The following is a 13,212-nucleotide window of genomic DNA, read 5'->3' as shown; positions in this document are numbered from 1 at the left end:
TCAGTCCTTCAATTCTGAATTCTCATCACAGCCTTTTCCAGGTCCCATGGCTGCACACAGTCTGGATCTCAGCATGTCAGGCTTGGAAGGAGATTTTATAAGTTACCTGCTCCAACAGCCCCAGTCCCCAGCCCTCCCCTTTCACCATGTGCCTTACAAGCTGCTCATCCTGCTCCTGCTTGAACATCAGCAACAATGTGGCAGCCGCATGCCGTTTCTGAGTGTTAGAGAGTTTACTCCCTACACTGGGTCAAAACCTGTCTGCTAACAGATTTGCCTTTTGGAATCAGTTCTACTCCATGGCGGCATCAGAGAGCTAAAGATATTAATTAATGCACTCATTGAGATGTCTGCTATTCAACTGCAATTCCTTTAACTTTTACTCATAACATAGATTTGCCAAATGCCTCAACCTCCTGGTTTCTCTCCTCTGAGCACATTCTGATCGGAGTTAGAGTTTGTCCTTGTTATACTGTGACCCTCAGACTGGAAACATTTCAGATGTGCTCTGATCAGCTCAGGGTAGGAGAAGAGGTTCATTTTCATTCTGGACACCAAATGTATATGAATGCTTCCAAAGAATAAGTCTTAGAATCATTCCCCATGGGTCTAACCCACCAGCCAAACGGGAAGCCAGCTCTGTGGCATAAATGAGGGGCACTGAAGAGAGACCAGTTCCCACCTCAGCCCGTCAGTGTCTGAAATTCCTGCATGAGCAATTCAGCCTTCTGGCTCTGGAGAATTTTACAGGAAAATAAAAAGAGTGGAACCAGTATAATGAGAAATGAAAAAAACATTAGCCACATGAAGGAGAGGACCAGATGCCATCTTTACTGGCATGGCCTGAAAGCTCTGTCCCCCTGAAGTTCTCTCCCTGTTTCCTGGGAGTCTGAGGAGCAGCCCACACCTCATCAGAGCCCTAGGATGCAAGGCCCAGCTCAGATCCTAGACAAGAGACCCCTAAAGTCAGTGAATGTGTAGGAGGGGTGGTGGGAAGGCAGTGGTACAGGGAAGAGACTCTGCAGGTATAGAGCCTGGAGGCTTTGGCCATGAGTGACCACCAGGTGTCACTGCCACCTCGAGAACAGTCTCCCTAAAGCATTTCAGAGTCCATGTACAGAGGGTCAGTTGCTGCTGCTGACCCTCACAGCAGCCCGCAAGCTGGCAGTCTGTCCAGGCCTGAGGCCAAGCTGTCATCAACCAGATCAGGCTTTACCACTCACCTCCCTGCTCTTGGTGACATGGCCAGTGCTTCTTATGCCCCTTCCTCTATTCCTTTGAAATGTGTACTGCAGCTGGCTTGGGCCCACCACCATGTCTTTGCTCTTTGCGTTCTATAATTAATCCATCCCAGGCTAGAGGTAAGGTGTGCCCTCTAATCACCATCCTCACCCCAAGCCCCAGCTCCCTGTCCCCATTTTAGGTGTTCCTCTAGAATCAAATAAATGAAAGCACTCATGGTGGAGCTAAGGACAACGATAGAGAAGGAGAAACAGAGAAGGGTAGACAAGTGGCTAGCCACAGGTCTGTCCTGGTCTTGGTCTAGAATTCTGGGCAGGAGCAGCTCCTAGGGCTTATGACTCAGACCAGAAGCTCTTTCAGCCTGAGCTTCCACAGCCACAGAAGAAAGAGGCCAGCAAGAGGTGCCTGTGAGGAATGGTGACAATGCCTGTGAGCAAGTCAGTGACAACACCTAAGGGCTGAGCTGGCTATGCAAAGTCCTGGCTTGGATGCAGGTAATGTTCCTCGGTTCACATCCTTTCCACTTGCACACTGCCAAGATCATCCAAAGGATCCTGACATCAATCCAATAGGCTGATAGGGCTATTAAAGATGCCTCTTCCAAATGGTGAACTCACTCAACAAATATGTATTACAATGGCACATCAAAGGGAGTGGGGCAGGAGTGGTTTGCTTGGTGGGAAGAGTATTTTATCAATGTCATTTGTATAGAATTGCTATCATATGTTGATAATAAAAAGCAGGCCAACTTAGTTTTGCTATTTTAAAAATTTTCTATAGCCAACTGATTGCACCTGGGCAAACCACTCTCACCTGTCTCCCCTTGGTACACCCTTGATGTATTTAAATGGCTACTAGGTGCTAGATACAGTGGCCCTAGAGATATAGCCATAAACAAGTCTGTACTCTTGAGAACCTTACATTTTAGTAGAACAGACAATTAAATAGACAAGAATAATCTCAACTGATAGTGAGTGCTATGCAGAAAATTAAAGAAGGGAGAGGTGGTAGCCAGTGAGTAGGTGGCAGCTTTGGATTGGATAGTTGAGGAAGTATCAGTTATACTGTTAAGGAAAAGTCAGTTATGGCTGGGCGCGGTGGCTCATGCCTGTAATCCCAACATTTTGGGAGGCCAAGGTGGGCGGATCATGAGGTCAGGAGATCGAGACCATCTTGGCCAACATGGTGAAATCCCGTCTCTACTAAAATACAAAAAATTAGCCGGGCGTGGTGGCGCGTGCCTGTAATCCCAGCTATTCGGGAAGCTGAGGCAGGGGAATCGCTTGAACCCGGGAGGCGGTGGTGGCAGTGAGCTGAGATGCACCACCACACTCCAGCCTGGTGACAGAGCAAGACTCTGTCTCAAAAAAAATGCAAAACTAAGAAGAAAGAGCATTTCAGAGAGAGAGCACAGCCTAATACAAAGGCCCTTACCAGTGTGGCTAGGGCACAGTGAGCAACAGTTAGGATAGTACAAGGGAAAGAGGCAGGTAGGGGCCTACATAAATTGCTAGGGAAAAACAATGTTGGGGGGACAGGACTAAGGGGAAAAACTAGAGTTCTGCTTTGGCTGTGTTATATTTAGGGTGCCTTTAAGATATGCAAAGTAAGGATGTCAAGCAAGAGTTAGAAATGTGAGTCTGGAGTTTGAAGGGGTGGTCAGGGCAGGAGATAGATACAGGCTGGCCAAGACCACCAACAAATGTACGTTGACCAAGTTCTGGGGCACTGATGTTTAGACACTCAGCAGAAGTGGAAGAATCAGCAAAGGAGGCCAAGAAGGGGAAGCCAATGATGTAGAATGAAAACCAAGCGATGGGCGGGGGGGCCTCAGGGGCCTAGAAAATAGTGTTTAGAGGAGGGAGTAGTCAGCTGTGTCAAATGCTACTGAAAAGTCTGTAAGATAAGAACAAAAGTGACCACTGGACTCAGTGACATGGAGATGACTTTTTCTTTTTGAGACACAGTCCTGCTCTGTCACCCAGGTGCACTGGTACGATCTCGGCTCACTGCAACCTCTGCTTCCCGGGTTCAGGTGATTCTCCTGCCTCGGCCTCCCAAGTAGCTGGGATTACAGACACCTGCCACCATGCCCAGCTAATTTTTGTATTTTTAGTAGAGACGGGGTTTCACCATATTGGCCAGGCTGGTCTCGAACTCCTGACCTCGTGATCTACCTGCCTCGGCCTCCTAAAGTGCTGGGATTACAGGCGTGAGTCACTGCGTCTGGCCTCATGGAGGTGACTTTGACAAGGGCCATTTCAGTGGGATGGTTGGAGCGGGATGCTGACTAGAGAGGATAGGAGAGAAAATGTGGTAAAAGGGAGACGGTGGCTAAAACAACTTTCCAATAATCTTTTGGAAAAAGAGAAATTGATGGTGGAGAAGAAAGCAGATACTTGAAAACAAAAAGGAGATGGAATCTAGGTCACAAGTGGAGGGTGAGCCTTAGAGCAGATTCATGTGGGTGGAGGTGCAGATAAGTGGGTGGATGTGATAGCAGGGACACAAAGGTAATCTAGTTTGACAGCTCCATAGTCCTGGTCTCATGATGGCTGAAATGTCTGCTCAAATTTAACCAAAGAAAATGTGCTATTATCTAGAAGAAATGGGAGGTGGGAATATGACCAGTACAGTCATGGCTTTAAGCTCAAGTTGTGGCATTTTGACAAGTGTGGCCAACTATTGGGTGTCTTCTGCCTTCTGGGTGGCCTGAGGTGAAGGCACAAGGCTCAGAAGGAAGCTAATAGAGGTTACCAGAAGATACCATCTGAGAAATGGTGATGACCTCTGTGAATTCAATCATTATTTCAATTTAGAATATAAATCTTTTGGACAGCAACTTTAAGTCCTAAGGCTATTAACTAATTTTAAGCACACACTCTGCATTTCCATGTTAGTCAATGGAAATGCAGATCAATAAGGCACAGTCCTTGCCCACATGGGCTGAAAGTATTTGAGAAACATTTACTATATTAACTTAATCATGTGTATAGTAAAGAATTTGGCTTTTCCCTAAGAGAATTCTGGCCTTCATCTTTGGCTCCTCAGAAGTAACCACTACACTCTTGGAGTTTCTGGAGTGATAGGAGTGTCTTTGTCACTCACAGTGGGCCCCTCAGGCCACATGGTATTATTCTGACCTCCAAGGAGGGAGAAGCCAGAGGCTGAGTTCAACCAGGTGATCAACCAGTCATGCCTACATCATGAAGCCCCAATAAAAACTGTGAACACTGAAGCTCAGAGGAGCTTTCCTCGTTGTTAATCCTCTATGCATATTGTCACATATCAAAGCCAGGAGGGGAATGAGTCATGAGTCCTAACTAATCGAAGTTTTGTGTTTGAAACCCTCCCAAATTCTGCTCTACACATCTTCCTTTGGCTTAGTTTTGATCTGTATCCGTTCCCCATAATATACTGTAACTGTGAGTATAATAGCTTTCAGTGAGTTCTGTGAGTTCTTCCAGAGAACTGTCAAACTTGAGAGTGGTTTTAGGAACTTCCTGAACTTTCAGGTGATGTTAGGAGTGAGGGTCTTATGGAGAATTGTGCTTTCAGACTTTGCAGTTTGGCTAACTCCAGGTATTATGTGGCCTTAGAATTGAAAGGGATCTAGACATCATCTAATTCAACTCCATTTTATAGGTGAGGAAACAGAGGTCTAGAGATGGGAAGTAACTTGCCCAAGGTCACATAATGTTATAGCAGAGTGAGGATTAGCCCTTGTGTGTCCTGACTCCCAGCATGGTATGCATTCCACAATATCCTTTGGATATGAATGTAAGGTTGAGCAAAGAAAAGCTCAACCTTATCCTTGAGTCAAACTGACTTTGCTACAAGGAATTTCTGCAAGAGATGCTATATTTAGGGAGCTTATTCCTTGCTGTTTTCTGCCTTGACTCTGACACATTGTAGATTTCTCTTACAAAATGTTTAAGCTACAACACTTAATGTTTATAAAATAAGGGGCTTATACCAAAGAAGGGCTAATGCTTTTTGTGGGGTAGAAAATTTTGTTCTATAAATTATCTCTTTGCTTAACTTTTATACTTTAGATACCATTTTTGTATAATATGGATTGTCTTGCTAAAAGTGTCTTAGTGTGTTCAACCTTTAACTTTACACACAAAGATGCTGAGGCACAGAAATGGGAATAAACCTACCCAAGGTCACCTGGTGAAGCAGTGGCAAGGACAGGGCTAAATGCAGGTCTCCTGACTCTTAGCACGGCCTTTACTTTAGTTCAGAATGACTTTCCTTGTAGAAGGCCATGAAAGTTTACACTTTTATAAGTACTTAAGGGCCCTTCACAGAATCCCAGAGCAGCCCATTCTGTCTGGGTAATGTCAGGTTCTCTTACCCTGTCATAAATTCTTTAAGATACTACCAGATGTTCTCTGTTTTTCTCAGTATTAAAGGGAAGAAGGGACTACTTGTCACTCTTCTGCTAGAGCAGGGACAAGCAGTAACCTGGTTCACAGATTCTCTCTCATAATCTAGTGTGGACTAAAAGGCAGAACTAGGATTCAAATATCTTGATTCCATCACATTTACAAAATCATAAAATCTCACCATAGGCCTGATATTTTTTTAACCATAAAAATCTTTTTATCATCTCTAGTTAAATATAGTAATTAAATAGTGGGTTTGTATCTCTAACAGGCAATTAACTTTCATTTTCCTAGTTACCCTACTGTGATTCTCTAGTAACTAAAACACTCATAAGAGCTAATATATAACATCCCACCATACAGGGCTATTCTCAACTCAGATACCCAGAAAGAGTCAGGGTCCACATTTATTAGCCCAGAAGTTCCCATTTATCAGGATCAGTGAAGACGGAAGTATTCTACTCAAAGAAATTTTCAGAGCACAAAAGGTCTCTAGATATCAGTGGGGAAACTTGAGATCCAGAGAAGGAACTGACTTATCAATTGTTACACTGTTTTATGTGCTGGTCACGAAGCTAATAAATGGAGAGTCTAGGATTCAAATTTGGGTAGTTCTCACTTCAAAGCCCACACTCTGAATCACTATTCTATTCTACCTCCCTGTTTAAAGTTGGATTTTGATGGAAAGATAGCCGAGAGAATTCTCATTAATAAATAAAAAAACTTGAGACCAAGAAAGGCTAGTCATTTCCCTGCAAACTTACACAGCTATTTAGAGGAAGAGCTAGACTTAAGGTTCAGCTTTTGATTCATTGTCCCAAGTTCTTCCCATTTCATAATATAAACATTTAGTGGACTTTGGGGATACTTTTGAAAGATGAGATACCTCTTGCATGGGAATAAAGACCTTTCCCTGCCACAGGGCCTGATGTTTCACAAAACTTTAGTGTGGATTTCCCACTAGACCCGCAGCTGGAATGCTGTTGCCATGAGTGTGATTGGCCATGAGTCATGCACTACAGCCAACTGAAGAAGGCCACTTCTCTCTTAGGAAAGAAAGATTTCTAATTTGAGTTTTGCCTTGTCACTCTCTCCCAGAATGAGGGACCTGACTCTCCCCTTTCCAGACCAGCACATTTCTCAGAAAGAGACTTCCTTATTTACGAAGATAGCAGGCTCAACACAGTGAAGCAGTGAATAGACAGTAAGTGATGTGACCCAGCTCTTCCTCAAATACCTCTCAGTTTAAAAATGGGAGCATCCTGAGTCCCAGGAGAAACTGGCTCTGGTTCCCTGGAGACTTCAGGTTCAGAGGAAAGGGAACCAGTGCTCCTCTGGTTAATTATATAATTGATATTGCAGATTGCTGAGAAGGCCCCTATAAGGGGTGGTAGAAGATAATCAGGACTCCAGGGTAAAGGGAAGGGAAGGAAGAGGGAGATGTCTCCTTAGATCCCATTTAGGCCTGTGGGCATCTGGCCTGTACTCCATTCTTTAGCCATCAACATCTAGAGGAGTGGGCTTGGGAATGGTTCTTGGCTCTGCTATGTCTCTTCCTAGCTGCTTACCTGTGGCTGCTGGGTTGTTAGGGGTCTCTGAGGAGACAGGGCAGGAGTCCTGGACAGCAGCTGGTTCATCTTGCTGATGACTAGTTCGGTGATGAGTTGCCTGTCCTCCACCTGATGTTCCCCAATCAGTGGCATGCTACAGTCCATGACCTGGTGGGAGATGTGTCCCAGGTGAGGAAAGGGGTCTGGAAACATAAATGGCCTGGTACAATCTTTCAGAATGGGTAGGAATTAAGCCAGCAGAGATGGACTGGAGATGAAGCAGGAGTTCTTCTCTTCAGCTGGAAGTGTGATCATTTGCAGAAATAGGATCTTTGTCCCTTCCTTCTACAAACCTTTGCCTCAGGTCTTTTCCCCAAGCTTTACCCGTGCCAGGGCTCAGTGAGACCAAAAATTGCTGGATGAAGGTAGCCAGAAGAGGTAGAAAGCAAGGAGAGGGTAAAGCCTCAGGGCGCAAAAGTTTGCAGGCAGGGGAGCACGTAGATGTGAAAGGCATCCCCTTAAATCTCTGATTAGGAGCATGTGCTTTTCATCTCTGTTACTTTTCACCCACAGAATCTCTGTCTCCAAGCACTCTCTGCTCACTAAATGACCAGGTTCATCCCTTTGTACCTGAACTGGGTTGCCCTCCCTTTTTACCACCAATCCTGATTCTTCCTGTACCTCAAGGCTCAGATCAATGTTTTCCTCCTTTAGAAAGTGTATGCCTCACAGACTCCATAGTCCAACTTTCTCAATTATGGATGAGAAAACAGAGGCCCACCTAGCGAGGAGAGGTGTGACCATTTAGAAGGTTATAGACCATGCAGGAAATGAGATAGATTCTGAATTTGAAGCCTACTTTGGGCTCCTGACACCAATATCCTGGAAATACCACCAACTCCTAGTAAGGAGCCTTTCCTGCTCCCAGCCAGATTGGGTAGGAATGTGTGTGAAGGATTCATACTGCCACTGGCTTTCCTTTACAACAGGTAAAAGGGAGTCAGCAAAGTTGTGTTAGAGGACCAGGCTGAGTAGTGTCTCCAAGGCTCAGAGAGACACTAAGAAGAAATCTCCTGCATCTGGTGCCCAGCTGAGACACTGATTCACCCTGTGGTCTTGGGCACATGCTCATGGTGTTAGGCCTCAGTTTCCTCACCTGTAAAATGAGCAGGTTGGACAGAATGACTCCCAAGGGTGGCTTTCTGAGACAGAGAATGGTAACATCACCACAGTCTTCCCAGAGGAATGGCTAGGATCCCATCAACCCGTATTCAACATCTTTTACCCATGGCGTGGGTCAGCCTAGCAGGTTAGAAACAATAGCTACCCACTGATCTTGCTGGAACATTTCCATGGTTCAGGAGACTCCAAATTAAAGGCAGTCTGAGCTGCCCACATAGTTCTTAAGCCTTAGGAGTTACCTCTTACTGCTTGGTCCAGACTTACCTCAAAAATGTAGTCTTTCCCATCTTTGCCATGTACAGCTTTGACAGCACAGATGTCCAGGCCGCCAAACATCTCAGAGCAGGTGTCCACCCACAGTTTGTACCTGGAGGTGATGGGAAGGTGTCCTGAAGCTGGGGCAATTCGCTCACCACAAAGCTTGCTTGCCAGTCAGGCTCTCCTTGCTGCCTCCATCTCTCCCACCTCCCATTCCCACTGCTCCCTCCATCTACCCGTATCAAGCACATACCCTTATTTACAGTGCCCTCCTCTATCTGTTTTCCAGATTCTACCCATTTTTGCAGGCCCAAAGCAGTTCTCACCATATCTAGAAGGCCTCCTTGGCTATTCCAGCCCATGCCAATTACTCCTTTCTTGGAGCTTCTATGGTATGTACAGTCTTTTCCCATAGGCTGTTAGAAGAAGCCATGCTACTTCTTGACCACTTGCTGCTTAGAAACTTCTTCCACCAGGTACTCTAGGCCATCAATCCTAAATTCAGCCTTCCATAAATCCCCAGGGCACGGACACAATGCGGCCAAGTTCTTTGCTATGGAGTGGCAAGGGTGACCTTTGCTTCAGTTCCCAACAAGTTCCTTATTTCCATCTGAGACCTGTTAGCCTGGCCTTCTCCGTCCATATTTTTATCAGCATTTTGGTCACAACCACTTAACCAGTCTCTAAGAAGTTCTGAACTTTCCCTTGGCTTCCTGTCTTCTTCTGAGCCCTTCAAACTCTTCTAACCTCTGCCTCTTACCCAGTTCCAAAGCCAATTCCACATTTTCAACTATCTTTATAGCAACACCTCACTCCTTGATTAGTCTGTTTTGTGTTGCTATAAAGGAATACTTGAGGCTAGGTAATTATAAAAAAAAAAAAGGTTTATTTTGGCTCATGGTTCTGCAGACTGTACAAAAAGCATGGTGCCAGCATCTGCTTCTGGTGAGGCCTCAGGAAGCTTTTACCTATGGTATGTGCAGTCTTTAACTCTATCATCTTTCTCTATCATCAGTCCTGCCTGATCTTGCTAAATGGGCTACTTGGGCCTTTTGTGTTTTATCTGTCCGGTTTGCTCCATGACTCCCTTTGGACAGAGCTTAATTCCTAAACTTCTTCATCTAAGGAAGCCTCCCTCTCACTGGGCTGGAAACTGGACTCCTTCTCTCAACTCACCTGTCTGACATGGCAATCTGCTCCAGCATCGCAGAGCCAGTGTTCGTCTTCCAGTTCCCTGAGATCGATGTCCTCCTGCAACAAGATCCCACCAGGATAGGACAGGCAGTGAGCCACACCAGCAAGAGGAGGGCATGCAACTTTCCAGAATTTTAGTTCACTGTTGCTTTCCACACCTGCTTCTCCCACAAGTAGCCCAGGGGTCTGTCTGCTGAGCCTAGAGCCTGGGTGCCTCTGCCAAATCCCCACCTGCAATGCCCTCCTCCTCTCTACAAGGGTCTTGCCCAGACAGCTCTGGCTCCACAGAGCCTGCCCTGATCTCTCAACCGGATGACCTTTCACTGTCCTTAGAACTTCTACAGGACTTTGCTTCTGCCTGATTTTCAATCTTAAATCTACTTTTTATTTTAGTTATTTGATCTGAGTCTTAAGCTTAGATTTTTCCACAAGCCTGAAAACCACTTGAAGGTACATATCGTGTCTTGTGTTCCCAGACGCCTACCCATTCAGTATCTATACTGACTTGATACATACAAACTGAATTCCATCAATCCTGAAACTCCCGCAGGGTTCTTTATGAATATCTTCCAATATCTTCTTTACTGGCTCACTCACTCATTCATTATTAACTTCTGAAGGCCACTATAATATTAGCAATGTGACTCTGGGGAAGTCAATTAACTCTTCAGGGTTAAGTTGCCTTGTCTGTCAAATGGAGCCGATGGCATCAAGCCATCAGCTTCTTCTCTGCTGTGCCCACGGCACCCTCCATCCATGAATATGTGTTGGTGTCAACTAGTCTTAGACTAAATAGGAGGTGGATTACTTGGTTTCTGGTTCTGGATTTGCTCTTGATGGGCTGGGTGACCTTCAGAGAGTCATTTCACCCCTCTGAGCCTGTTATCTGTTAACACAGGGCTGTCAGAAAGACCAATTGATACAGGTTTAAATTAACTATAAACACCCAAAATATGTCTTTTTAATTATCAGCCTTCATCCAGACACAGTCAAGAGGAAGGAGATAGCCTAGGGGACAGAAGAGTCCTGCTTACACTGTCGACAGAGCCCCTCATATGCTGCCCTTATCATTCAATACTGTTAGAGAGTGTCCTCCCCAGAGATCTGATTTCAGACACTGAGGAACCTAGATATATGGCTCATTTTTCAGAACCACGAGGTGGCCCCATGAGTTAACGAACAGGGTCACAACAGTCCTTATGCTTGGACAGTACTGACTGCTTTCTAAGGTGCCTCCTCACCAAACCCCTCATTTCAAACCCCCTGTTGTGAGCAGGCTGAAATTCTTGCCCCTGCTTGACAGATAAGAGTAAGACTCAGAAAGGTTAGAGGACTTGTCCGAGATTATATATCTAGTCCAAACAGGTATGAGATAAAAGTCCAGGAATCCTGGTTTCCTCACATGATGTGCTTTTCCCTACACTCCACTACCTAATTCAGGAAAGGCAAAGAAACAAACTACTGAGTGGCTGGCAAAACCTGAGTAGAAACACGAAGACAGAATCATAATAAAAATAACTGTCTTCTTAACATTCATGGTTTACAAATGTGTCCCTGTGACCAGACTGCTCAAGGCAGGGGCAGAGAGTCACTCACTTCCATGTCCCCAGCACAGAGCCATGGCACATAATAGAGTCTCACAAACTTTGGATTTGTACACTGACTCCCACTATTTTCAGGTTGCATACCCAACTCAACCTGAGCCAAAATTCATTTTACAATTCTGTCTGTAGGTGTTAACTTTCTTCCCACGATGTTTCCTTGGTTTATCAGGATATTCCTACTGCCCTGATGCATATACAATGTGAAACACTGTTTCATCTATAGGCTCATTTATTTCATTAATAGTAATTTTAATAATTTTCATAATCTGAGAAGGCTTCACTTCAAAATGAGAAGTCTCAGTAGTAGAACCTTTCAATCACAAATTTTGAATGACTTCATGGCTGCCCATCACCATATCATACATTTGAAGGACCCACTTACATAAATACTGAAAATCGGGAAGTTAGGGCCGGAGGCTCACGCCTGTAATCCCAGCACTTTGGGAGGCCAAGGCAGGTGGATCACGAGGTCGGGAGATCGAGACCATCCTGGTCAACATGGTGAAACCTCGTCTCTACTAAAATACAAAAAATTAGCCAGGCATGGTGGTGGGTGCCTGTAGTCCCAGCTACTCAGGAGGCTGAGAGAGGGGAATTGCTTGAACCAGGGAGGCGGAGGTTGCAGTGAGCTGAGATTGCACCACTGCATTCCAGCCTGGTGGCAGAGCGAGACTCTGTCTCAAAAAAAAAAAAAAAAAAAAAGAAAAGAAAAAAAGGAAGAAACTGAACCTCATATAATTGGTTTCAAGCCAGTCCCATAACCTCTATGACCTCTATGACTTTTTCAATATTTAAGATATTAGAAAAAATATTATATAACCCTGTTGATTTATAGGTTAAAATCCTTTTTGAGTGGAAAATAACATCATCCTTACATTTTCATGGCACTTTAAAGTTTGCAAAGCTCCCCAACACTTCACACCATTCTCTAACAATGGGATGCAGGGCATAGATCCATACAGGCTACCTGGGGCATGTGGGAGCAAAGGGGACACTGAGAGGCCATTCTCTAGACCCAAAAATCATATGACCTCCACAGCTGACCCACATTATTGCCTACTGCAGATGGAGGCAGGAATGGTACCTTCTTCACACCAAAGTGGCTGTCTCTGGATCTCCACGGTGATTGCTGGGGTAGACGAAAAGAATCCCAAGCCTAATCTTGGCTACTGCTAAGTAAATTCCTTCTTCTGAGAGCAGGAATATAGCCACAAGTTTGGGGAAGAAGTGTGGTGAGGAGAAGCTAAGAGGGCCTAAACATTTCTCCAATAACTGACGGTCCCTTGCACACCAAAAAAGTAAATAAATGTTATCTAAAGCTTCTCTGGTCACCCAGCCTTCATCAATGTTTTAGAAGTCTCTTTTTTTATGCTTCAGTTTAAGTTGTTTTTTGAAACCTTAACCCTTAAAATTTAGGTGTCTTCTTTTAAGGATCAAGACACTTTTACTCCACTGTTGTCATTAATGTTTTGTGTTTATTTAGGGGATTTTAAAATTAAAAGATAGGTAATCTGCTTTCCTAGGTGCCTGAAGGTATATATTTTTTTGCTTCTTTTAGCAAGTTTTTATAATGGTTTTTAAATTATTCTGTCTTAGATTGTGCATATTTCTTTTCTTTTTTTGAGACAGGGTCCCATGTCACTCAGGCTGGAGTGGTGCAATCACAGCTCACTGCAGCCCGATCTCCCAGGCTCAAGTGATCCTCCCACCTCAGACTCCTAAGTAGCTAGGACTATAGGCAAGCACCACATCCAGCTAATTTTTGTATTTTTTGTAGAGATGGGGTCTCAC

The 13,212-nt window shown here is 44.7% G+C and overlaps 1 protein-coding gene and 1 pseudogene across 6 annotated transcripts in view, besides 1 other annotated feature; one reads left to right on the top strand and one right to left on the bottom strand.

Moving 5' to 3' along the window:
* SYN2 (synapsin II) overlaps positions 1-13,212 on the bottom strand; it is a 187,645-nt gene that overhangs the window by 14,925 nt on the left and 159,508 nt on the right. For all 6 annotated transcript variants that reach the window (NM_133625.6, NM_003178.6, XM_006713311.4 and 3 more), the window contains 3 exons: positions 9,800-9,874; positions 8,630-8,732; positions 7,202-7,351 (listed from right to left, as the gene is read on the bottom strand). In NM_133625.6, the coding sequence (NP_598328.1) occupies positions 7,202-7,351; positions 8,630-8,732; positions 9,800-9,874 (328 nt within the window). The remainder of the gene's footprint in view (positions 1-7,201; positions 7,352-8,629; positions 8,733-9,799; positions 9,875-13,212) is intronic.
* Positions 1,011-1,090: a silencer, noted in NCBI's record as "silent region_14064". NCBI's record gives its function as "represses an Ori minimal core promoter by ATAC-STARR-seq in GM12878 lymphoblastoid cells {active_cell/tissue: GM12878}" and the evidence as "EXISTENCE:reporter gene assay evidence [ECO:0000049][PMID:35858748]".
* MTCO1P5 (MT-CO1 pseudogene 5) lies at positions 11,466-11,809 on the top strand (annotated as a pseudogene).

The sequence above is a fragment of the Homo sapiens genome, chromosome 3 (assembly GCF_000001405.40).
Source record: "Homo sapiens chromosome 3, GRCh38.p14 Primary Assembly".
Classification (NCBI taxonomy): Eukaryota; Metazoa; Chordata; class Mammalia; order Primates; family Hominidae; genus Homo; species Homo sapiens.
Note: the sequence above shows the minus strand (reverse complement) of the source record. Positions and strands in the feature narration are given on the sequence as shown.